General features: G+C 44.3%; 4 gene segments (V, D, J or C) and 1 further gene, besides 12 other annotated features; all 5 read right to left on the bottom strand.

Annotated features, from left to right (window-relative positions):
• Positions 1 to 25,753, bottom strand: part of TRB (T cell receptor beta locus) — a 514,277-nt gene that overhangs the window by 280,755 nt on the left and 207,769 nt on the right.
• Positions 2,732 to 2,740: a recombination feature (RSS_nonamer).
• Positions 2,741 to 2,763: a recombination feature (RSS_spacer).
• Positions 2,764 to 2,770: a recombination feature (RSS_heptamer).
• On the bottom strand, positions 2,771 to 3,243 carry TRBV7-9 (T cell receptor beta variable 7-9). The segment is given in 2 exon segments: positions 2,771 to 3,068; positions 3,195 to 3,243. Coding segments are annotated over 2 exon segments (347 nt in total), but the record flags the coding sequence as incomplete, so codon positions are not given.
• Positions 11,938 to 11,946: a recombination feature (RSS_nonamer).
• Positions 11,947 to 11,969: a recombination feature (RSS_spacer).
• Positions 11,970 to 11,976: a recombination feature (RSS_heptamer).
• Positions 11,977 to 12,443, bottom strand: TRBV5-7 (T cell receptor beta variable 5-7 (non-functional)). The segment is given in 2 exon segments: positions 11,977 to 12,270; positions 12,395 to 12,443. Coding segments are annotated over 2 exon segments (343 nt in total), but the record flags the coding sequence as incomplete, so codon positions are not given.
• Positions 20,367 to 20,375: a recombination feature (RSS_nonamer).
• Positions 20,376 to 20,398: a recombination feature (RSS_spacer).
• Positions 20,399 to 20,405: a recombination feature (RSS_heptamer).
• On the bottom strand, positions 20,406 to 20,907 carry TRBV7-7 (T cell receptor beta variable 7-7). The segment is given in 2 exon segments: positions 20,406 to 20,703; positions 20,859 to 20,907. Coding segments are annotated over 2 exon segments (347 nt in total), but the record flags the coding sequence as incomplete, so codon positions are not given.
• Positions 24,684 to 24,692: a recombination feature (RSS_nonamer).
• Positions 24,693 to 24,715: a recombination feature (RSS_spacer).
• Positions 24,716 to 24,722: a recombination feature (RSS_heptamer).
• TRBV6-8 (T cell receptor beta variable 6-8) lies at positions 24,723 to 25,151 on the bottom strand. The segment is given in 2 exon segments: positions 24,723 to 25,014; positions 25,103 to 25,151. Coding segments are annotated over 2 exon segments (341 nt in total), but the record flags the coding sequence as incomplete, so codon positions are not given.

Below are 25,753 nucleotides of genomic sequence, written 5' to 3'. Positions count from 1 at the left end.
AAACCAGTTACTAAAAGAGGGCTATTGAAATCTCTGATTATAATTGTGGATTTGTCTGTTTCTCCTTGCAGTTCTGTTTTTGCCTTGGGATTTTGAAGATCCATTTTCAGGTACGTAAATATTTGATTGTTACAACCTCTTGATAGACCAATACTTTTGTCATTAGGATATGACTTTCATTATCTCAGATGATATTCTCTGCTTGAAATTTATTTTGTTTGATATTAACGTTACTAGTCTGGCTTTCCTTTAATTGGTGTTGGCATAGTACATCTTTTTCCATACTTTTATATTTTTTTACATTCTGAGTCTTCATAGTATTCTGATAAGCAGCATATAGTTGTTTTTTTGATATGATTCGATAATATTCAATAGTACAATCTGTGCTTTTAGACTATTTAGATTTGATGTGATTGTTGATGTGGTTACTTTTGGGTCTATCATCTTCTATTTGTTTTCTATCAATCCCATCTCTTCTATATTCCTTTTTTCTTTTTATGTTGTTTTTATGGATTATTTGAGCATTTTTATAACTCTGTATTGTGTTGGCTTATTAACTATAATGCTGTGTTTTGTCATCTTAGTGGTTGCTCTATGATTTTCAGTTGCATCTCTACTTTAACGCAGTCTGCCTTCAAGTGACTTCACTCAGATTATGGAAACCTTCCAATGATATATGTGTTCATTTATTCCTCACCTGTCTTTATGCTAGTCTTGTTATAGATTTATGTTTGCATATATTAGAATCCCTGCACTGTTTTGGAATTATTTCAGTGTAAATAGCCAATTATCCTTTAAAGAAATTCATTCAAGTTTAAAAATTTGCTTTTGGGACTCTAATTACATATTAAGCTACTTAAAGTTGTCCCCCAGTTTACTGATGACCCCCACTTATTCTCTGTATTTCATTAAGAATTGTTTGTGTTATTTCTTCAAGTTTATTAATATTTTATCCTGTAATGTCTAATCTGATGGTAACTTCATCCAGCGTATTTTTCATCACAGACATTGTAATTTTTATCTCTAGAAGCTTTGTTTGGATCTCATTATGCCTTTCCCCATCTCAACAAAACTTTGAACTTACAGACCAGAGTTATAGTAACTGTTTGACTGTCTTTGTCTGCCAATTTGTCATTTCTGAGTTGGTTCCTATTAATTAATCCTTCTTTTCCTTATAGATCCTATTTTCATGCTTCTTTGCAGGTCTGTAATTTTTGATTGATGCCAGATATTTTGTATTTTATATTTTTGGGTGGTAGATATTTTTATATTTCTATTAATATTTTTAGCTTTGTTCTGTGATGCACTTAAATCAGTTGGAAACAAACAAAAACAAAAAAAATCCCAGCAGTTGTTATCTTTTTCCTGAATAATTTAGCAAGCTGATTCTAAAATGTATATGGAAAAAAAGTGTCAAGAGTGCTCAAGAACACTTGATAAAAAGGAGCGAAGCTTGAGAAATTATTCTACCAGATATTAAGAATAAGGATGAAGCTGTAGTAAGACAGCATATTATCAGTGCGAGAACTGACAGAACAGACCAATGTAACAGAATAGAGATCCGAGAAAAAAGGCCACACATGTATAATGACGGATTTATGACAAAAGTGATATTATCGAGTGATGGTGAAACTATTACCACTTAAATAGTATTGGGTAAATTGAATAATCATTTGGAAAAATAGAACTTGACCTCTTCCTCATATCACCTACAAAGAATTAATTCCAGTTCGATTGTGAGTCTAAGTATGAAAAGTGGAAAATATAAAGATTTTAGAAGGAAATGTAAGAAAACATGATCATTTTGAAGTAAGCAAGGATTTCCTAAAGTGGACACCAAAATACAAAACACTAACTGAAATGGGAGAAACATGGAATGATTGTCACTTAAGAACTTCTGTTTGTCAAGAGAAACTATTAGTAGAGGGAAAAACTAATCTACAGAGAGAGAGAGAGAAAAAAAAAAATTCCATCCAAAACTCATATACCTCTCGTGGGAATGTAAACTGGTACATCTTCTTTGGAAACCTCAAAGAATCCTACGTGGTTGATATAATTTTATTCAGGTTTTCTTTGAATTGTGTCCTTTTAACACCTTCCCAGGTGGGGTTTATCTTATGAAACAATCTCAATTTGTATTTCTATTTTTTTAAGTTAGACTGGAGAAGAAGGAAATTAAACATAGAATGACTACAAGATTTTCAGAAGGAAAAAAAGCAATGTATGAACATGAGTTAATGTGCATTATTGTGGGTAATAGTTATTTCTAAAAAATTGATTTTGATGGAAATTCTTACTAAAGATTCCAATTTTCTTCCAAGGGTGGTAGCTGTAAATGGCCTTAGCAGTGTTTGCGTTTGGCTTCCCCACTCCTTGGTAGATTATAGGTCTGAGTTGGTGACATGTGGTAACAGTAGTTTAATATAAATGTGCTGAAACTTCATAGTTCTATAAAAGAATATTTACTTAGTCACTATCCATGAGACTAAGCTCTGTTATATCCTAATTATGGAAATTTGAACTATATATAAGGAATCCCAGAAATCCATAAGTCAAAATTATTACTACCCAGTATTCCCTGTTCCTGTATTTCAGAGGTTATTTTCTGACCTCCTAGTATCAGAAGAACACCTGCAGTTCCAAATGCATTCATTCTCCTTGCTGAGGAAAGAGCAGGGCAGCTCCTTTGTTCAGGGCTTCTGAGAGCTGGAAGGAGAAGTAAGTGCCTGAGGGTTTGTGAGCAGGAAGGAGGCGACTGTGCCATGCTGTGGCTAAGCTGCTGGCACAGAGATACATGGCCGAGTCCCCCTGCTCTGTGCGCTGGATCTCCAAGGTGGAGAAAGATCCCTTAGGCCTCTCTGCAGAGAACCGATCACTGAGCAGCCTTGATTTTTCTAGTTGAGCTTCATTCTGGAAGTAAGTCAGAAACTCTGGGCCCTGCCCCAGGGTCTGTCGGTACCAATAAAGGCGGTTGTGTTCAGAAATTGGATCACACCTGAAAGTTACATTCTGTCCCCTCTTTGTGATCTTGTGTCTGGGGTTCTGGGAGACTCCAGTATCTGCGTGATCTGTGGAGATACAAGTTGGGAACAGGAGGAAAACAATTGTAGTCATCACACACACACACACACACACGCACACACACACAGACATACACAGACACAATGAGATTGCTTGGTGTTCTGAGGACTCACCTGCCCCCAGGAGACACAGGGCCATCCAGCAGAGGAGGCTGGTGCCCATGGCAGGGTCAGGGCAGGATGGGAGCTTTACCAGATCAGGGTCACTGTGAGCAGGAGCAGAGGATGAGGGACGTCCTTGTCGCCACAGAGCAGTTCCCACAGTGACATCACTGAGCCTCAGGATCACCTGATACTGATGAGTTAAGTCTAAGATGGCAGCAACTCTGATGTGCACCACTTTATTATGTACCAGCAAGAAAGAAAATAATTACTGTCACTCATCAGAAACAATAAACGGTGTAACACCATGAAGCATAGAATTCATGACAAGTGATAAGTCAGAAGTGGGTTTCCACACACACAGCTTCTGTGAGGTCCATTTTGTTTTCCCCACTCAGCCCTCCAGGGGGCTGCTGCCCGCATTCCACCCTCCGCCTTCGGGAAGTCTTCTCACTTTTTCCTTTCGCATTGTCGGCTGGACATGCCACCTGGCTGCTTCAGCAGCACTTTACACAGACGATCCCAGTGCTGACTGTCAACCTTCCTTGGAGATCTCCTGTTTCTGGCTCTGTTCCTGCATTTCCTGCCCATCCACGGTCTGGGTAGGAGTGGGAGGTGTTTGGGAAGTGGAGAGAATTGCCGCGTCTTTTTCCCGAAAGAGTTTCAATTCACAGCTCAGAGGGGCAAGGGAAGAAACGTTGCCTCCAGCAGGCACCAAGCTAAGTTGGGATCTTCAACTCATTCTAAAGGTTAAAAAAAGAACAGTTAAACAATTCCCCATATGAATTCATTAATCTCAATACTTTTTCTTTTTTGTCTCTACTACTTATCACGACACCTCCTGTGTTTCTAAGTCACCTCTGAAATCAATAAATGTTCCATAGCCTTTAGAAAAAGTCAGAACTGTTTTACCCTTGACATTGTGATGGGAGTAGTACAATTAAAAAATAGGGAGTTGAATTAATCCTTGGGGTTCCTAACAGTCTGCATTATGAGCAATTAATTTCTCATTTTCATTCCTAACTTAACTCTTAAAACTTCATGGGCACCCTCTTTCATATGAGGGACAATAGTCACAATTCCTCTCACTGCAGGCAAGTTAGACCCAGATTTGAGAAGATCCTGCAAAGTGGAGGAAAAGTTTGAAGCAAAGCAGAGGAGATGGTTCAGCAAGGTCTTTGCTGCTGGCAAAAGGAGACCCACAGAATCCCACCCCACTAGGGGATGTGTGTCCAGCTGATGGAGTGAGATGTTTGGTTGACCAGCTTGGAATATGCCATTGTACCTTCAATCTCAGAAGTGCTACATCACAATAGTATAAAATTCATGCTGGTGCATTTCCAGCTGACATTGCTTCCCATAGATGATGCCATAAAGTAGGATGTATTCACACCTATTGCTGCTCCATACCCATTACCTGCTTTCAAGAGGTCTGTGTGAGCACAGTTTCATGAATGGAGATAGAACCTGGAGCTAGGACGTAGGAGACTGCATGGGGAATGTTTGGAACTGAGGCACAGCAGTTGCAGGGACAGGGATTTCCCTCAGAGGTTTCCAGAGCCATCTGCTCCCAGGAGACAAAGCACAACTAAGCAGGAACATGGAATCCCATCATGCTCTGAGAGGGAAATTGTTGTTTTTAACACAGACCCCGTGGGTTTTCAAAATACATGGTTCCTCTGGCAAGGCTTGGCATATTCAGAGCTGAGATTCCCCCAGGTGCATCCAGGACACACCTGGTTTTGAGAAACCAAGGCATGTCCAGCGCCCAGGAGAAGAGCCTAGATCCCATGGGAGACTGAGCAGGTAGAGGGCGTTCAGAGCTCTGGTGCTACAAGAGGCCAGGATCTGTCCTCTCCCTGTGCCTGGCGAGTGTGTGTCTGTGGTGGTGCTGTTGCTGCTCATTTCCCAGTTCACAGGTCTCCTCTGGCATGGTTCAGGATCCCTTCTCTTCTCACCCAGTCAGCTTTCTCCTGCACTGACTCCTACACAGCAAGGGGTGCAGAGCTGAGAGAAGCTGGATTCAGATTGGAGTCCTATTCTCACAGCTTTTCTGGTGGTTCTCTGAATTGTGCTGCCTGACATTCCTCTAGGTGTGGATCTGGGAAGGGAATGGGAAGACCCCCAGACCCCCTAGGTGTCCATCATAGCACATCTTCCTCTGTAGCTAACAAAGAATCAGAGACCTCTGCCTACTGGATTTTAATCCTGTTTGAGGGTCTTCACAGGATCCAAATCACCTGCACATCCTGTAATAGTGAGGGTTTATGTTTTCAGGGTTTGTAAGGACTTCTTATTTTAGATATATAAGTGGATATATGAATATATATTGACATCTCACGTTCAATACCGATTCACAGTGTGGGTCATTACCTGTCATTTGTCTAGAAAGCTTTCTCAGTCCTTGATCAAGCTGCATGGTGTAATCATGCCTCTCCTAGTTGTCAAATCTTGATCTTCCTTCTATGGGGGCTGGGGGCTAGCTGGGCTTTCATCCCTCTATGTACTCATATGTCTAAAATACTCTTCACTCAACCCTACTGCTTCACTTAACAGTTCTCCCTCTCCCTACCCCTTCTACTCCTGATAATCCTGCTCATTCTATGACCAATAATACTTCATGGGTACTCAAGTAATGGAGCAACTCTAACCCTAACCCCCATAAGAACAGACCCACACATCAGGCCAATGTTGGAAGTAAAACTTCACTTTAAAAAGTCACTGAAGAAAATGACCAAATGGCCCAGATTTTGCAAACTGCCAACACACTAAGTCCATCTTAGCTCTGTAGCACCAGCCAGTTGTACCTGAAGGTGAGTCACTGCCACCATCTTCTGGGAGAAATTTGACTTGTGATTCCTCCAGGGTTTCAGAAGCTTTCGCCTGGGATTTCTCTTTGTCTGTTTTCTGAGCTCATCATCTTCTCTTAGACCCAGCCAACATCCTTCCACCAGGTCCTTCTGTCGACTGAACCAAGCAGCAGGGTTTGATTCCTTCTGGCTCTCCTCATTTCCATGGCTGCTTAATTATGGGTGAGGTGGGTTTGGTCCCAAACAACGTAAAGGGCATTATTCTTAGGGCTCTGATTCACACTCAGAAATGTATTCTTCATGGTAGAGCCTCACGGTACTCATCGCATGTGGATCAACACCATCCCCACCCCCCACCTCTCACCTTGCCACCAAGTTAAAGACTCTTAGAGTAGAAAAGGCCTTAGAAATAATCTTGTTTCCATTTCCAGTTGTGCTTTGTAAGGTGGACTTGTTATTAAGATTTAACACAGCTATTTGTTCTTCATTTCCAAAGAAATTACTCCCTCAGGTGCGCATCTGAGACCTAAAAAAACCATTAGGAGAAGGAGGAGGGTTGCATCACAGCTTCACAGCTTAGAATTTGGCATTACATGTCCTTTTTCTTCGACATTCTGTGGCCACTCTGCTGTATTCCCAACTGTCCCTCCCCACTGCCTGTGCTTCCGTCTCTGCTGATTCAAAGAAAATAAGATTCCCCTAATTTTAGAATGCAGGAACATTTACCAATTTCTGGCCCATGAGAGTCTCCATTTGAACTCTGAGTTATTTATTAAACTGTGACTCCATTGGCCTTGCCATTCTTCCCTTCGCCACCAGTCTTCACAAGGTAAAGGAGATGTATAGATGCTTACTTAAACTTGAAAATAAATTATCCCACCTTCCAACTACTTAAACGAAAAACTGACTAAAATCAGATGGGATTCTAGTTAACATTGTTTTCCTCTACATTTAATGTATAGGAAGTGACCACTTAGTTGCTTCTCCCTCCCTCATTTTAACAACAGCTCTTCACAGAGCTCCCTGGCCTAGTTTATCCACATTGATGTCTCTGCTACATCTTGTGCTGGGAATAATTTTTTTCAAAGCTATGATCTTCTGGTTCCAGGCCAGTAGCCACTTACCTCTCTAGTACCTCCCCATTGCCAACACCATGATGCTTGTATCTACAGTGCTGTAGGGTACACAGACCATACTACCCGTGGTGTCTGATCTGAAAACAACCCCAGATGGTTCTAGACTTCCCCTCTGTCAAACTCCAGTGACCCCTCTATCAATTCCACATGGAAGCAAGCTGACTGCCCTTCATCTGCCTCCAACATTTATTAGCTCTGAGACCATGGGCAAGGCCATTCATTAACCTTCCTGGACTCTAGCTGCATCTAGACTCATCTATAAAACAAGACTAACATTCCCCTCAATGCTTTAGGAGGACGAACTGAGATACTGTGTAGTGTCTGGTAGGATTGATAAAGGTCTATCCTTTTATCCCTCCCTGTCTCCTCATGCAGGAGAAACCAATGGAGCTCTCAAACCTGCCAGGACTATGAGTGATGGAAATGCTGGAATCATCAACTGGGGGCTGGGGTGAGGACAACCTGGAAGCCTAAAGAGGCCATTCAGTCTCTTTAGAAAAGATCTGGCAGAATTCAGGAATTAGACAATAGAGCACAATTGTACCTGTCTACCCTCATTATGCAATATGAAGCAGCTAATAGGAGCAAGTTAGATCTATATTGACCAATCTGGAACAATAAGACCAGGGTATATTAACAGAAAAGAGTATGCATGTGACAGGTAAAGTGTACAGGTGAACCCATTTTCTGTAGGTGTACTTGGGTAGAAAGGTGTGCATGAACACAGAAAAGAGAGGTGAAAAGAAGCACACCAGAGTGTTAATATTGGTGACCAGTGGAAGGTGGGATTGGATTTGAGAGCGTTATTGACATTTTCATTATATATTATTTGTTAAAAAATCTTCACCACATACAAGCTTTTAAGTTACACCTTTCAGCTGGTGTCTGACTTTATAGTGTCTAAATGGGCAAAGTACAGAAAGCTTCTGTTTATGGAACCCCTTATAGATGCCCATTTTTTGGAATAAACCGAGGATAAAGTGTACTATGTAAAAGCGTATAAGCTCCTGGTGAACACAGTCTCTGACTGCTGAGGAGGGTGAGCATCAAGGTCGATACATTTGATGGTGAGGTCAGTTCAGCTGATTATGAACCAATAAGGCTTCTACCTCTGAAAGCCTGATCACCACGGAGAAGTGGAGGATCTCACCCCTTGTTCTAGAACAGCCTTTGAATAGCCTCCGATTGGAAAAGGAAGAGAAATGAGCACCCTCTAGTGCCTGCATTTCCAAACTCAGTGAGAGCTCGTTTCCAGTTTTACATTGTTCAAGCTTTAGAAATGCTCTTTGTTTCTGATCCAAGTAGCAGTATTATTACGATGTCAATTGTAATGATATTCCAGTGTTTATCAACAGCACACAGCTTTCTCAAATACAGCTTTAGTGAGTGGGTAGAAGAAAATGCTGTCCCTAGGGAAGATGTTCTGACTTTGGTTTGTTTAAGGTTCAGTTATTTAAAATAGCTAGTCTATTTTTGGTCTTTATTGCCTAAAGAGATAAAACTTCATTCGTATTTAAAGCATAGATGCAAATCATTCCAGCAAAATTGGGGCTTCAGTCTGTCCGTGGGCCATCCTTGGTGATTGTATATTTGATTATTTCCACCCAGAATGGCTCTCACAATTCTTCAGGGACTAACACATAGCCCTGCTCTGTAAGTGGAGCCTCTGCCTCACAATCAGCCTTTCCTAACTGGCAAAGGAGGGGAATAAGCAAAGGTCTCTGTTCAGTGCCCTGCACCAAAATCAGGTGTGGGCTGGAGGAAGCTGGTGACCATCAGGTCTGTGTCTCTAGCATTGCCCACCAATTCATGGAAATGAACACCCATAATATAGCTCAGTGTGTCAGGTAGCATGGCCTCAAAGCCACCCAAAGAGATATTTGTGCCTTGGGAACACTCTGCCTAAGAGAATGGGGAAGGCATTTGTTTTCTTCTCCATGACCTTTTAATGCCAGTGTTTGACATTATGTTTCTGATCACTCTCTCAGAGTGATTAGGTGCGCTGTGTCTGTGAGACTCCCAAATCCAGGACACCTGTGAGGGAAGGAGATTGAAGGAGGAGACTAGGCAGGAAGGCGATGGGCAGATAGGAAGTTCAGTAGTGCAGAAAGGCTTGGATCCAGTTACTCATCCATGACAGGGATTTCTCCTCTGTTTCCAGGACTCATTTGATCCTAGGATATGAAGGGATAGAAGTTCCCATTTAATGTGTCCAGACTTCTGGAACAGTCTATGTGGGAACTCAGAGGGCCTTTCAATATCTGTTCTTTATTCTTTCAAGATTGGTCAGTGGCACCTGGAACCGCTGTTGGTACTGACAATAAAATGGGGAACAAAACATCCACAACTTCTAGAATGATGCCTTTTACAGTGGAGAATGCAAGAGAAGTGTCAAACAGTCACACAAAGTCAGGGAAATGACTATGGTGCTAAGTCTATGAATATTAATGCATATTATAAACTGTGAGCATTTACAATAGGGAGGAGCAGCCTAGGAAAACTGTTGAAGGAGTGTCTCCCTAGAGATGGTGGTAGTTAAACTGAGATTTGGAGAAAGAACAAAAGAGAAGAGACTTCTGATGAGCCAGAGGATACAGCATGGAGTGGAAAGGGCTTTGGTGGGAGGAGCATGACCCATGAGGAAGGGCCTGAATTGAGGCATCTGTGATTGACATGAAGGTGAGGGTGCAGAGGAAGGGAGAAGACAGCTGGGAGCAGACATCACGTGGAAGAGGCTGAGGACTGACGTGAGTGTGGTGTGGGGAAGATGGACTTGTGAAGGCTGACAGGGAAAAGAACATAGACCTGTATTGTCAATGCTGTCTGCAAATATACAATTTCAAATGAACTTTCCTTTCTGAGAGCAGCTGAGGAAGAGGACTTCTGAGGTCAGAGCTGCAGGAGGGGCCTGGAAGAGAGGCTGCATCCACGCAAAGCATGGTTATGTGCGTTCCATCGTCCAGCTGAGACTGGCCTGGAAGAGAAGCTCAGCACAGGGCAGAGTTTCCCATGCACAGGCTGCTCAGAAATCTGAGGGCCCCAGCCTGGGCAGTGTTGGGAGACTCCTATGGGACAATGTTTTCCACTGCCTGGATCACGGTCTCGTGAAGACAAGGCCATCTATATTTTCCACTGAGCATTATGTGCAGAGGAAGGTGGCTGTGGGGTGAAAGCTGGTGCAAGGGGGCACAGAGGTCTGGGAGAGGCTGTCTGACACCAAGGCCACATATTTGGCTTTGAGAAAAAGTCACAGACCCTCAGGGATTCTGTATAGTGTGTGCTGGGACGGATCAGCTGTGCACCAGCCTTGGCTCCTATTAACACCTACACATGTAGTCATGGATGGCAGTCTCAGGCATCTCCATGTCACTTCACGTCCTGCCTTTGTTCTCTGGTATCTTGGGATCTGGTTGTCCCAGCTTCTGTGAAGTCTATGATAGAAGGAAGTTGAGTGCCCAAAGAGGGACCCCAATAATGTAGACTTGAGGTAAAGGCTTAGGCTGGGATGTGGTGAGCCAAGGAAAAGGCTTTAGGGGACTCACCTGCCCTCAGGGGGCAGACGGCCAAACCATTGAGGAGTCTGGTGGTCATGGCAGGGTCAAGGAATAATAGGCAAATTGTGGGGAGTTTTTCAACTTGCGCATTGGGAACATAATTCCTGGATGTCAGTAGAGTCAACTGATGATGCCACTGCCCCTGCCAGCCAGTGACTCTGCCCTCTGCCTGCTAGTCCTCCCTCTACCTGCTGCCACCTTCAACCTACAGTCAAGTCATAAACCTTCACCCATGTGGTCTCCACTCCTGGCTGCCTTTCTTCTACAAGGTAACAAACGGACAAGGTTCATGATCATTTGCCCTCCACTTACCTCTCCACCATCAGCTCTGGGGGTCTACTTTAGGGCTCTCTTTGACAGGCTATTACTTCTTCACTGAACATATGTCCTTCCCTCCCATTCCTAGGTCTCTATCTTATTTCTTACATAAGATATACTTCAGGTACATTTATTCTTAGTGGTGAAAATCCAAGCTTAAATTTTACTAGAATAAATTGATAAAACTACGCTTAGACATTTATATAAGAAAGCGGTTTTTGTCTACACACAAACAAAATTGATTTTAGTTTTTGTTGCATTAAATTAAACTCTTGTGCATCAAAAAAACACCATAAAAGTGAAAACATAAGCTGCAGACTGGGGAAAGACAAAGGGAATGCATATAAATGATTTTTAAAAAGTGTTAAATTTAACATTCCTCAAAGTTGCTAATGAAGAGGCCATAGTAATGACCCCTGAAGGCATCTGAGCGTCTACTGCAGCCCTGCTGGTCACTAGAGGGCAGTGCGAGGGCTCTGACTTACTGACCAGGATGCAGAAGGTGATGATGGAGCAGGGGGGTAGGTGGAAAATGGATGGACTAGTTTGTTTCCTACTTCTGATCCTTACAAGCCAAGAGACACTGGGGAAAATGACTCAATGTCCCTGAGCCTTCTATCTATAAAGGAAGAATAGAAATGTTTGATGTGCAAGAGTGTGGAAAGCCCTTAAGCTATGTAACAAATACGAAGAATCTAGCACGTATCTGGGGCTCAACAGTCACTCTTCTACTGAAGTTATCCAGGAAGTGACAAACTACAAGAAGTTGCAGCACAGAAGCAGGCACACTCAGGGCACAGGAAACCTGGGCTCTATTGGTTGGGAAAGGTCTGCCCTCAGTAGGACACAAGACATGCCTTCCAAACAACTAAAAGCTTCCCTTGAAGGAGTGAAACCTGGGTGGGGCCTGCAGTTCTCAAGTCAAAGCTAAGGCGGAAGTTTATATACAGAATGTCAGTGACTCTGCTGGGCTGTGCCAAGCTGCTGGCACAGAGATAGAGGGCCGAGTCCCCTAGCAACAAGGCGTTCACATTCAGCTCAGAGCTATAGTTAGGGAACTGGTGACCTGAGAATTGATCAGGGAAGTTTCCTCTTCCTCTCTCTTCTTTCTCATAATACTGAAAGATAAACTGGGGCCCCTGACCCAGGGCCTGTTGGTACGAGGACACACTGGTGTGCCCAGAGATAGGAGAGCATCTCAGAGTCACGTGCTGTCCTCTCGTTTTGATCAGGTGTGTGGGACTTTGGGTGACTCCAGCGTCCACTGGGCCTGTGGGAAAAGCAGATGTATAATGAGCACTGGAGACAGCCTGGAGGTCCTCCCCAAGGTAAAGTGGAGGACACAGGGGTGGGAAAGCTGAGAATGGAGCAGCTGTCCTGTGCCCGGGACTCACCTTCTCCTAGGGGACAAAGCAGCACCCAGCAGAGGAGCCCGGGGCCCATGGCACAGTGGGGCAGGCAGCACTGCACCTGATTCAGGGCTTGGTCCTCCTGGGAAAGAGCTGAGTGAGTTCTGGGCCTTGATTTTCCTGATGGGAGGGGTATGCTGTGATGTCACTGTCTTGTGTCTTCCCTATGCAGCCTTCCTTAGGTCTAGTGCTCCACGGACACTGGACTCTCTACCTGTCCTGCCGAGCTGGAGGGATGGGTGAAGGCAGAAGCTTCTGTGGTGATACAGTTGCTCCTCTGCCTAACTGCCCCAGCTCACAGGCTGCCCCATCACCCTATCACCCTCCTCTGACCTAGTGCTGCGGTGCTCCATGCTGGAGCTCGCACACCTGCCTATCAGCAGATGGTGAGGAGCCTGTGATTAAACCATCAGTTTCCAGCTCTTCCTTGCTCTCCTCACATCATCTTTCTGAAGCTAGATTCACACCAAGGTTTCTTACTATATTTTCCTGTCCCAGGCAACATTCCCAACCCATTTCCTGAGTGGCCAGCGGTACAGAGGCCCCAAGATTTAGTCCATCTGATCAGATCCAAAGCAGACCTGTGTTGTCTGTAAATTATTAAGAGTGCAGATTCCCCAGAAATAAATCTAGGGCCTTATCAGCTCACACCACAGACCTAGCCAGCTTTGGACTCAACACCCTCAAGGCCATCCTATATGTAGTGCTCTGGAAAGTTTATGTTAATCCCTCCAGATCCACCCTGCCTTCACAGGCTGACTCCAGTGTATCATGTTAACTGTCTCCTCTTTTCTCTAACTTCAGAGTGAGTTTGGCTTATGGGAGACAGGACAGCAGAGGGAGGTAGTGTCACCATCTGTGCTGGTTTGCAAAATCTATTCCCTTGGCTGCCTTCTTGCTGGGTTAAATTGCCTGGTGCCTAAAAGTAGTCACACAGTGGCCTGAATGCTTTGCAGCTTAGATATTTCTTTCAGCAGATATCCTAGCTAATGGCTCATAATTTTATATTCCATAAAGTCCTAGAACAGGACACAATGTTGCCAAGGTTTTTGCTACTTATGAGAAGGATGGCATTTACTTCAATTTCTGATACCTTGTTCCTCATTTCCCCCTGAGCTTTCACCAGAAATGCCCTTAATGCTCTGTTTTCAGCAATCTAGGCTTTTGCTAGTCTGCTTCTCTGAATTCTTCCAACCTCTATCCATTAGCCATTTCCCATTAACTAAAGCTGTTTCTACATTTTCAGGTACTTGTTACAGCAACAGCGTCACTCTCAGCACCATGTTTTCTTTCCATTTATTTCCTACTGCTATAGAGAAATACCACAGACTGGGTAATTTATAAAGACAAGGCATTTATTTGGCTTATAGATCTGGAGACTGGGAAGTCCAAGATCAATGGGCCATAGCGGCTGAGGGCCTCCTGCTGTTATCCAAGGCAGAAGGAAGGGGAAGCAAGCACCCAAGACAGAGAAAGTGGCTGAATTTATACTTTTTATCAGAAGACCATTCCCAAGACAACTAATTCACTCCCACAATAACGGCATTGATCTCTTTCTGAGGGCAGATCCCTCATGACCTAGTCATAGCTGTCCCACCTCCCAATACCATTACAATGACAAATTTCAACATGAGCTTTTGTGAGGACACGCAAGCATAGCACACACATCTACACTGTAAGTCAGTATTTCCACTCTTAAGTTTATACCTAAAATAAAATAAAAAAAAAGAATGTATATGTCCACAAGAAAGAGTTCCACAAGAATGTTCACAACAACTGTATTCATAATAGTTGAAGACAGGAGTAATGTGGATATCCATCAACGGGAGCATGGATAAACAAGTTGTGGTATAGTTATGCAATGGAATATTAGTCATAAGAAAAAATGACCTACTGATACAACAATATGAATAAACTTCAGAAATACTAATTTTGGAGGAAAATAACTCAATAAAATGTTATATGATTCCATTTATATGGAGTTCAAGAATAGACCAAGCTAGTCAGTGGTGATAAAAATAAGAAAAGTTTTGGCCAGGCGCGGTGGCTCATGCCTGTAATCCCAAAAATTTGGGAGGCTGAGGCGGGCAGATTTCAAGGTCAGGAGATCGAGACCATCCTGACTAACACGATGAAACCCCGTCTCTGCTAAAAATACAAACAATTAGCCGGGTGTGGTGGCAAGCATCTATAGTCCCATCTACTCCAAAGGCTGAGGCAGGAGAGTGGCGTGAACCGGGGAGGCAGAGCTTGCAGTGAGCTGAGATCACACCACTGCACTCCAGCCTGGGTGACAGAGTGAGACTCTTGTCTCTAAATAAATAAATAAATACAATTTTTATCTCTGGGATAGAAATTGATTGGAAAGGAGCATGACGACACTTTCCTGCATGACAGAATTTTTTTTATAATCATTTCAGTTACTATTGCACTGGCATATGCATTTGTCAAAATGTACCAGGATGTCCTTGTATTAATATTTCTGTTTTACTCTCTATTATACTTTAATAAAAAGTATTACTAAAAAGTAAACAGCTAAATCATAAAATATGGGATTCACTTACAAATGTATGCTTGTATTCTGCACAGCCCAATTTAAAAATGAATCACACAAAAATAAGAAAAGACAGGAACACACATATCTGTGTAAGTTATGGAGAATGTGAGAAGTGCTTGGTGACTGAAGTGGCAACATTGAAATTTGGCATCAAAATAAGCTCAACTGATGAGTGGGCCGAAAAACAACTAGGATCAAAATCAAGGAAAGCTGTAGACAAACAAAAGCTTTTTACAATATCTTCATATGCTATTGAAATCATTCTGAGAACCATGAGCTGCTACAAATTTCATAACTTGGGAAATTGGGCATTCATCAGTCTCACAATTCAGACTTTCCTTTCATTTTGGCTTTGAACAGATTGGCCAATTTTTGAATTGATTTTTTTGCCCAGCAAGCAGCCTGCTCCCCACTTTGTGAGTGGGGTACTGGGAGACCCGGCACTCCCCCTTTTCAGCCTCACAGACGGGAGTTGGGCACAGCACAGACACACGGAGTTCCCTGCACGTGGGGTTTGAACTCCCTGTGAAGCCCAGCTATGGACCTCCCAGTCCTACAGTTAATGGATCCCAACTAAAGAAACCGTGCCTCTAGGTGTCTGCTTTACCTGTTAGTGCTAAAGAGGGATACAGGCTGGAGAAAAATAAAATGTTTGCTCAATATTATTCTGTAATATTTTACAAGAAAATCAATTGAGGACTTCATGGATTTTCATCCAAGCCAAAGTCATGATAATAGCTGAATTCCTTCCTTAATCTACCCTGAGAGGACTCAGACACTGCTTGATGCCCACAAATACTTAGTAGAGACTTATTTATAGTCTCCTTTGTAAAATTCTACTAGTCTATTATCTTCATCTCTAACGGCACAGTTTGGTGCATCTACTAATATTTTCCTTCAATAGTTTGTTTACTGAGGTGTTTCAGAAATTTTTGTCAATACTTTTTGTCCTCCAGAGAACATGTGCTTGATTTCCAATGGAACCTCAGCCAAGTTGATGTTATCAGTAAGACTTATGAACTTGGAGAATCCCAGATCACTCAAGCAGGTTAAAGCTGTTGCCTGGCCAGACCTGCAGGGAAGATGAGGTGCAGCAGAGACCCACTGGGCTCAGGGCACAGCCTGCCTCTCACTTTTCCCTTTTCCTCTGAGGCAGTTGCTCCTCTGTCTGCACATGCCCCGACACCAAGGCTGCCTGGCCAAAATTCTTCAACTGTAGATCTGATTAAAGATTAGAGGGACTTCCTGCCTCTTGCATAGCTGTAGGTAGCCTAGCAATAACTGAAAACTCCTGCAACATCTGCATAATATTGAATACAAACCCTAATTTTTCTTAACCTTTTCCCTCCTAGGCTGCTCCCCCAGACTGCCCAGAGCCCTTTACATCGCAGTGGACCACACTGCCATCTTGTGGCCAATAAGTGAAGCTTCATCATTGTTTAATTCTGTAATGGCCCAAGGAATGCTGGGAAGTGTCTGCAGAGTGAGCTGCCAGAATATTCCAGAGGTGCCATCCCGCAGGTTTTATGAGCAGCTTCCCTAAACCCTAAGTCCTACATTAGTTCTAACCCTAATTATTGCTTTGAGTTACCAATCTTGATATCCCACCCTCATTCTGAATAACTCTTATCACATAGCTTCAGTTATAGCCAAACTTTTTCTCCCTTAAAACTACCATCTAAAGAAAGAGGAACAGAATGAGAGGAATGAAAGGAAATAATATTTGGTTTTAAATAGTAAGAAGACACAGACGTTGAAGTATAAAGAGATTATTTAATCTGAATCACTAAAGATAAACAAAAACATCCTCCAAAAATGACAATGTTACCCCAAAAGTATAGATCAGCAAAAGATGAAGTCAAATGTCTATTAATAAAAAGTAAAATTGAAATATATAAAACGAGACCTGTTACAAGACAATAAGCAATGGTGGAGGGAGCAGTACCTAATGCAGAAAATAAGGATGGATATAACTAAGAGTAGCAAAGGGACTGCTATAGGAAATGATCACCTTGTACAATGCACATCCACTGATCTGAGCAGCAAACAGGGAAGAGATGACACTGGAAGAGGCAGAGGAGCAGCGGGAGATGAGGACACGCTGATGCAAAATAGTATCATAAGGAAGCAAATCAGCCAGGGGACTGTGGATTAGATGACTTTGCTTTCTCCTGTCTCCCGTGACAGCTGAACTGGACCATTTTCCTCTCCAAGGATTTGCTCCTGCACCTGAAGTTAGATGCCCCTGGGATTTGCTGCTTTTCAGGTTCCCATGGATGAACTCCCTCTCCTTCCTTGTTGACCATGGTCTGAAGGAGAGGTCATCTCTCCCTCCCCTTCAATCCCACAGTACTGGGGATTGGCACAGACTTCTCAATTGGCATTGACCTCTCTCATGGCATGCTCACATGCCCCCTAACTGTGCCTTTTCATTTCCACTAGACTGAAAGTTAGATGTGGGCAATGAAACTTAACACCTTTATCATAAGATACACAAGTAACTGCTTTCAAAATTATTGCTGTTTCTTTCACTGCCTTGGGTTACAGCTGAACAGGAAAAAAAGGCACAATTTCTTAATGTGACTTAACCACAAAAACCTTCCCAAGTGCCAAAAACAATATAACTACCAAGGGATTGCTCTCCTCATTGGCGAGATGGAAAAATAAACCAAAAAAAAAAAAAAAACAAAGAAAATATTGTCAAATACTTTAATGGAGACACAGAAACCCAGTCCCTCTTATACAAACATCACTGTTTGGCCTCCCTCTACCTGAGAGACAGACAGAGCCATTCCTGTGCCCTACACCTGGCAGGAAAGCCCTGCTGGAGCCTGTGGGGAGCTGGTGAGGATGAGCCTTGGTGATTCTGCCCCAGAGCAGGGATTCTCAGGGAACTCTGGACAACTTCCAGGGACTGAGATGGAGAGTGGCCACACTCAGTCCAGGAGAGGAGAATACTGAGGATGTGATCCTTCTGATCTCTCAGCCTAAAGTAAAAGCAGAGTCATTCCTGACTGGTGTGGAGCTGCTTAGTTTCTAAAGCAAAATAGTCCTTGTTTCAGGGTCTGTCAGTGACATAGAAGAATAGCGGGGCTCTATGTGGTTCACAACCCAGAGTTGCTGCTTGGCCATCTCTGTTCCCAATGACTCCAGCATCTGAATATTCCATGTGAGGAAAGATAATTTGTAAATAATGAACTGGTTCAGTGATACCTTTAGGTACATTCAAAATAGTTGTCATGTTCCAGACTGGCATTCTTGAAGGAAACACAGAGCTACAGTGCAAGAGAATTTGGGAGTTGAATGGAAATAGGAACAATTGACGGCCCCTTAGGTGATGGGTTCTAAGAACAAGAGTAGTGGGGAAATAAATTCTGAGCTATATTGGCCTAGCTCAGAAATGGCATAAGAGGGACATCAGAAAATACCCCAGTAATGTGCTGATAAACTGTGTGTCTGTGAAGGTGGGGGCATGGCTGGTAGCATTTCCTAATTTCTGTTGTACCAACATACCCACCATGGCAGATTTCAAGCTCCCAGCATGGCTTCACTGAACAGGGAGCTGGGAAAAGTATGCCTATTTACTTCTTTTGAGTCATACAAGCCATAGACTAAAGAGAAAAGCTTCAAACTTCTTCAATGCTTCCTACTAAACATACTAAAATGAGGCCACAGCAACTATAGCATACCTCATTATTTTCATGATAAGATCAGAGTGTGTGATCCTGGGTCTTGGAATGGACAACGGGATGTTTGTGCAGAGAAAGGATTTCTGAGTCCTCTGAAGCTGCTGAGATCACAGAGCAAAGAGTTATGCTGGCTGGTTGGGGAGCCGCTAGCCTTTGACTTGAAGTAATTGCAATGAAATGTTTCTCCTGCTTAACTTAAGACAACAGAATGATTTCATTAGAACAGAAACCACATTCCTCCCTATTTGTTCGTTAGTACCATCTACCCTTTGCTCCTCTTGCATGTTCATTCTCTCTATAAATTGGAAGCCCTGCTCACTTTTGTTACATGTTCTTGCAGCACCATTTACAACAGTGGACTGTGGTCTGTTCAGCCTCAGTGTCAGAGCTTGTCCACTGTTAGGACCAGTTGTCTCAGCAGTCACATGGAGGAAAGTGGCAGCAGTTAGAAGGTCTCAGAAGACAGGGAATTCCCATCTGTGTGCTGGCCTTACTCAGTCCCAGAAGACACAGGGCGGCTGAGCAAGGAGTCATTTGATGACGACACAAGAAAAAATGGGTCAAGAGCAATTCCCTGCCAGTGACCATCATTCTCTGGGGAAAGAAATTTGGTGTCTGTACCACACCATAATTTCTGATCAGTGAATTTGGAAGGACTATGATGCCCCTCCTAGCTATGAAAGATTCAGGGCACCTCTATCAGGGTTGCATCTGGGACACTGAGTCCCAGACTTGGAGAAGTGGTCTGTCGCTGAGGACTCCCCGAAACCCATAATGCATAATCACATCAGCTCTGACCAGTGCATTCCATTTCATAGATACAAACTGCAGCATCACCCACAGACAGATGGAAGATTCTATTGCAATATAATCATTGTACTTCTATTTCTAACAAGTGCTATATAACACTATATATTATGAAAAAATATAATAAAAAGGAATAGATTCAATATTATAAATAAAACACTTTTTGAGTTAAAGGCCTTGGGAGAATTATTTCAAATCAAATGAGTTGGACAACAATCAAAACACTCAGAGTCTGAAAATCAGATTTCCTGAGTGAATCAAGGTGAAGTGGCAGCGGTGGTGATGCATGCTTCTGTCTATCAGGACAGCAGCAATGGCAAATGGAAATAAAATAAAGGATACTCTTGGCTTAAAGTAGGCAGAAGAAATGAAGTGTTATTGTTACCATGATTGTATTTATCAAGTAAGGACCACAAATTTGCAAAGACCTTTACTTCAAACAGGAAGAGAGGTTTGATATTTTGTGGCAGAAAACTTCCAAGGTGACAGGGATAGAAGAGGCTTCAGAAGAAAGATCTTCTCGGGGATGTAGCCTCAGACCTTCCAGATGCCCCAACATATGAAGAAGAGGCATGTTTCCTGCCTATGACAACCTCATGTATGTGGGCAACACAGCAGCCTCCAAGACCTATAGAAGATGCATGTCTGCTCTGAAGGCCAAGGCTAAGACACCCACTCCTTGTTTGGAGCAGTGAGCTGGCTCCGAGCCCTCCTAGAGTGCAGTGGGACGTGATTGTTTTCACCACTTACATTTGCAGTCACTGTGTTTCAGGAATGAATCTGTGGTCTCTTTCCACCCAAAGGACAACCGAGGTCCAAATCTACCTCTTTCCCAGGAAAAGTGAGGAGCAAAGAGAGGCCTCTGTTAATGATCTCTGGGAGCTGCAAAGAGAGAGAAGGATGAGGTTTGTGAACAGGAAGGAGGCGACTGTGCCATGCTGTGGCTAAGCTGCTGGCACAGCGATACATGGCTGAGTCCCGCTGCTCTGTGCGCTGAATCGTCAGAGTGGAGATGGATCCCTCAGGCCTCTCTGCAGAGAACCGATCACTGGGCAGCCCTGATTTGTCTGGTTGAGCTTCATAATTGAAGTAAGTCAGAAACTCTGGGCCCTGCCCCAGGGCCTGTTGATACCAATAAAGGGTTGCATGACTCGAAATTGGATCACACCTGAGAGTTACATCCTGTCCCCTCTTTGTGACTTTGTACCTGGGAGACTGGGAGACTCCAGCACCTGTGTGATCTGTGGAAACAGAATCTGGCAACAGAATAAGGAAAACATTTGTAGTCATCTCACACACACACACACACACACACACACACACAGACACACATGCATACACACACACACCTACATACAGAAAAAATATGAAACTACTTTGTGTTTTGAGGACTCACCTGTCCCTAGGAAACCCAGGACCACCCAGCATAGGAGACTGGTACCCATGACAGTGTCAGACCAGGATGGGGGCTTTACCAGATCAGTGTCACTGTGAGCAGGAGCGGAGGATGAGGGATGTCCTTGTCTCCACAGGGCAGTTCCCACAGTGACATCACTTCCTCTCTCAATCCTCAGGACCTCAGGGTCACAGCATTTCTATTAGAACACACTTGGGTGACACTTTAAATATTTATAACCTCCGTTTTAACAACATCAATTCATGGCTCATTGGTTTGTGCTCCAGAGCCGTCTGTGCCTGGAGACCTCACACTGCATCTCTGAGTTCATCTTCTCATCCTACAGCCGCTCCCCTGCCTGCTGGGCATGTCCTGTAGGATGCAACAACAGCGCCCCTAACATAGGGCACAAAGGGTTGAGCTCATTGTCTTTCCCGCAAGTCAGGGTCCCCTGTGCCATCCCAATCATGCCCCAGCTTCCTCCATTCCCCCAGTCACACGTGCCCAATGAGACTGTCCCATCACATGGGTTCCCTCAAGAACTGCCCTCATGCCTTTCTTCTGGGATCATTTCCCACCCTTGTTAACCGTAATTCAGAAAAGATGCCCATAGAAAACCATCTCAGGCATACAGTGACTTATTAATGCTCATCTATTCCATGCCCTAGACTGGGTAACTGGGAACTTCCATGTGAAAAACACTAGGATCTGAAGTTCTAGCATCAAAGATTTGTTTTACCGTTGTCTAATTTAAGACGCTGATGGAAGAAAAGTACTCAGTTTACTGTTTAGGTCCAACTTATAAAAATAAAATGAATATTCTTTACCCTGAAATCATACGTTCTCCTTTGAGTAAATTAAAAGGTCACATAAATCATGAATTAAACCTACCAGGCTAGACTGGGCCAAGAGAAGACAGAGCTTTTTTCTGGAAAGGCTAAGTTTCCAGGGTTAGTCAATGTGGTGCAGGAAGGAGGCTGGTACGTGAAGTATTTTTCCTCGTTAGAAGATGCTGGGATGTGTGATATCCTGGGTACTCAGCTGATCTGGGGGGAAGGGTGGCCAAGTGTGTAATACAAGGGATGAAATGTCATCAGTAGGATTGTCCTGGGAAATTGCCTTTCAACAATCTGAGACATGTTTTGGGCTCTTTGGCCCCCTCTGCTCCATCCTGTTTGGGGGCCAGGTCTCTACTTGGAGAGAAGGCAACTCTAGCACACTGTATTCTTGCCATCTTCACAGAAATGCAGGGCAATTTCTGCAGATCTGAGGATTTCACTTTAGGTTGGCCATCAAATCATTGAGCTGATCAGCTACAAATTCATGAAGCACATTTCTCATACTGCACAGTCAAAAGGGAGACCAGAACACTTGCTTTGGTTATAAAAGAACTGGATGGAGGAAGGCAGCAAGATGTGAGCTTCCCTCCTACTGTCTCCACAGGTCACTGCACTCTGACCAGGCGTCTGATGTCCATCCAACTCCATCAGGATAGAAGCTCAGGAAGGAGACAGAAGCAGGAGGCAGAGCCCTGCCTCTGGGTGGAGCGAGATTTCAGGCACAGGATTAAAAGAAAATTTAGTAGCCAGTGTCTGGAACATCTACATACAAATTGTGTCCACATTCACTTGGGCAGCACAGGTGTCCCCCGGAGAGGAGTCCACGGACCGTGGCAGGTTGAGTCAGTTGTGTGATCTGATGCCTTAATCTGGGAGAATCCATACTGTGCTGGATTGTGTTAAGTCAACTTTGCAAATGTAAGAGTCTGACTTTCCCAGAATGCCATTTATCATTCTGGGTTAGAGATGGTCAAGGATACATTTTGTAACATTTAGAAGACAGATACAAAACAGTCACTATAACAATTGGCAGGTCATTGTGGTGAGAGAGTGAGAGTCAGTGACCAGCAGATACAGAGGCATCCAACAGACCTAGGAAGTCCTGTTCCTTCTGCACCCTGTGTCCAGTTCATCTTGCCAAATGCTGCCCAACAGCAGCCAGGCTGCCCCCAGTGTTTGGCACTATACCCGCAGGCATGGCCCCCACACAGAGGGAACAGCTTCCCCAGAAGCAGGTTTCCTCGGCCTTTTCCTGTGCTCCCGGCTCAAGGTCCCACTGCATGGCCTGGCATGCTCTGATCCTCTCATGTCCCTGCCACTCCAGCCTGTCCTGCCCGAGCTCCAGGAGCCCTGGCTACTGACTGGCTCCCTCACCTTCTGACTTCTCTCCTCAAGACCTTGTCTTCCTCAGCTCCTCCCACATATGCATAAAGTCTAATTCTGATCATAAATCTTTTACACTCACAAACCTGTAGTGGCTCTGTTTTATTGATGCAAACCTAATGGAGATTTTCTTACCAGAAGTGGTTTCAAGGAACAACCTTTAAGGATGGAATTCTTGAAGTGGATCTCTGATCTGTCTAGATTTGTTGTGGGGAAAGATCCTGAAGGAGAGCACAGAGACCTGGAGGAGGTCAGGTGCTGCAGCCACAAGAGGAAGCCTTGAACCAGGTGTGGCCGCCATGATAGTGATTCCCCATCAATTTCCAAGACCGACCTGAGCCCAGCAATCAAAGAGGTGGGCTTTCTTGTACTTAATGCTAGATCTCTGGCAGGTTACAGTAGATGTAGCGTGTTCCTGCTATTTGTTCGTCCACCCACTCATCACTCACTCAGCCTGTCATTCACTCATCTATTCTCTGTGAAATGGGTCTCCCCACATGCCAGGCACCGATGTTGGTAAATACAGCAGGCACAGTCTTAGCTCCCATGGGCTTAAAAATTGGGTGGAGAGGCCAGGCGTGCTGGCTAACGCCTGTATCCCCACACTTTGGGAGGCCGAGAAGGGCAGATCATGAGGCCAGGAGATCGAGACCATCCTGGCCAACATGGTAAAACCCCATCTCTACTAAAAATACAAACAAGAATTAGCTGGGCGTGGTGGCACATGTCTGTAATCCCAGCTACTCGGGAGGCTGAGGCAGGAGAATCACTTGAATCAGAGTATCAGAGGTTGCAGTGAGCAGAGATCATGCCACTGCACTCCAGCCTGGTGACGGAGTGAGACTGTGTCTTAAAAAAAAAAAAATTGGGTGGAGCACAAAAATAATCAGACAAGCATCTGAGAAAGCCCAACTGTGCTAAAGGTTGCTAACAGACATATGATTCATTGAGAGCTTATGAGAGGAAAGTTGATCTTACCTGGGAGGGGAGGGAGTGCTTCCCGCAGGAGGGGCTGATCATACTGAGATCTGAAGCACAGGAAGGAGCTGGCCACTAGAGAAAGGAAGGCTCTGGCCCAGGGCAAAGAAAATGGCCTTTGAAGTCTCTGTGACGGGAAGGAAGGAGTCACAGAGAGGTGCTCCCCTCATGGCTGCAGTAGAGAGGGGCAGGGAAGTGGGGGGTGGAGGATGACTGCGGAGGTGGGAAAGGTGGGCCACAGGAGGGTGGGGGCTGGGGGAAACCCTAGAGAGGAAGCAACATGGTCACCAGGGAGAGACAGGAGTCTAGATGGATCTGAAATACAAATCCTGTTTCATCCTGGGGGCCTTGGACTCAGGATGATGAGTAGAAAAGTAGGAGCTGGGGAAGCCCTGGCCCCAACCCCAAAAGTAGAGCTTGTAGGAGAGAGCAACAAAGGAGACATATGAGGACCTGGGACCAGTCCAGGCCTGGCTGAGATGCCTACAGAGGCACCTGGCACAGAGCGAGGCTCATACTGTCTGGGCCACTTGGGGCCACTTCGGGTTCCAAGGTTCCCGTTGCAGAATACTCTGCCCAGGTCATCCCTGAGTCTCAGGTCGGGGTGGAGGGCAGAGCCTCCCTGCCTTTATGTGCAGAGAGGAGACAACCTTGTAGCGCTGTGGAGTAACTGCTGGCACACAAGTACACAGATGTCTGGGAGGGAGCAGCCGACACCAGCCTGAGTGGGAAATCCTCTGTGTTTAATCTAGAGACATTGTAGCCATTGGGGACTTCTTTGTCAGTAGTACCAGCAGCAGCTGAGTAGTAAATCAGTCTCAGCCCCATGCCTGGGTCTTGTCGATACCAGGACATGTATCCATGGTTCATATCCTGGGCACACTGCAGTGTCATGCTCTGTCCTGTCTTCAGGATGTGGAATTTTGGGGTCTGAGTGACACCAGCATTCACGGGACCTGCAGAGAAGAACAAAACTGATGCTGCAGCCCCAGTGGAAAGGGGATGGGCCTTGAAATCCACGCAAGGGCCCTGCCCAGGACCCACCTGCCCACAGGAGAGAAAAGGCCGCACAGCACAGGAGCCCGAGGCTCATGGCAGGGGCTGCAGGACGGAGGGGTCTTCTGGGTCTGTGCATTGATAAAAGGGGAACAGGACTCTCAAGGGAGTCATTCTGAGACATCATTCTCCCTGCCTGGGCCCCAGAGCCTTCCAGTCAGGAGAGGCCACGCCCATTCCCCAGATGGTCAAATTCAAGATAAATGCACCAGTGAACAGCTGAGAATGAGAAGAACACATTTGTCTGAATTGAAACAAGTCTACAAGATTTTCATGACCTTTTGTAAAGAGTTTGTAATTCAATGTAAATTTTAATTCTTCAATAATATAATTAATATTCTGATGTTAGTTATCTACACAGTGCTGTAGTCTAGACTCTTAGGGAAACTTCTCATGTCTTCCTGGTGTTTTTGATTCCTGTATCCCAAATACTCCTTCAAGTATCCTTTTCTAATTTGCTTAATTGACCATAATCCTGTTTAAAATCCTTTGTCTATATTGGTTTTCTCTGTTATCAAGTTTCCAGATCCTAGGTGCAGGCTTCTCAACATTGCAGGAGTCGTTTTGCTCTGTTTCTTGTCAATTCACTGACAGATGGGACTCCTGACAAACCCAGCTGAGCACCTTCAGCTCAACGCA

Source organism: Homo sapiens, chromosome 7 (genome assembly GCF_000001405.40).
Source record: "Homo sapiens chromosome 7, GRCh38.p14 Primary Assembly".
Lineage (NCBI taxonomy): Eukaryota > Metazoa > Chordata > Mammalia > Primates > Hominidae > Homo > Homo sapiens.
The sequence above is the reverse complement of the archived record's forward strand: the minus strand, read 5'-3'. Positions and strand labels throughout refer to the sequence as shown.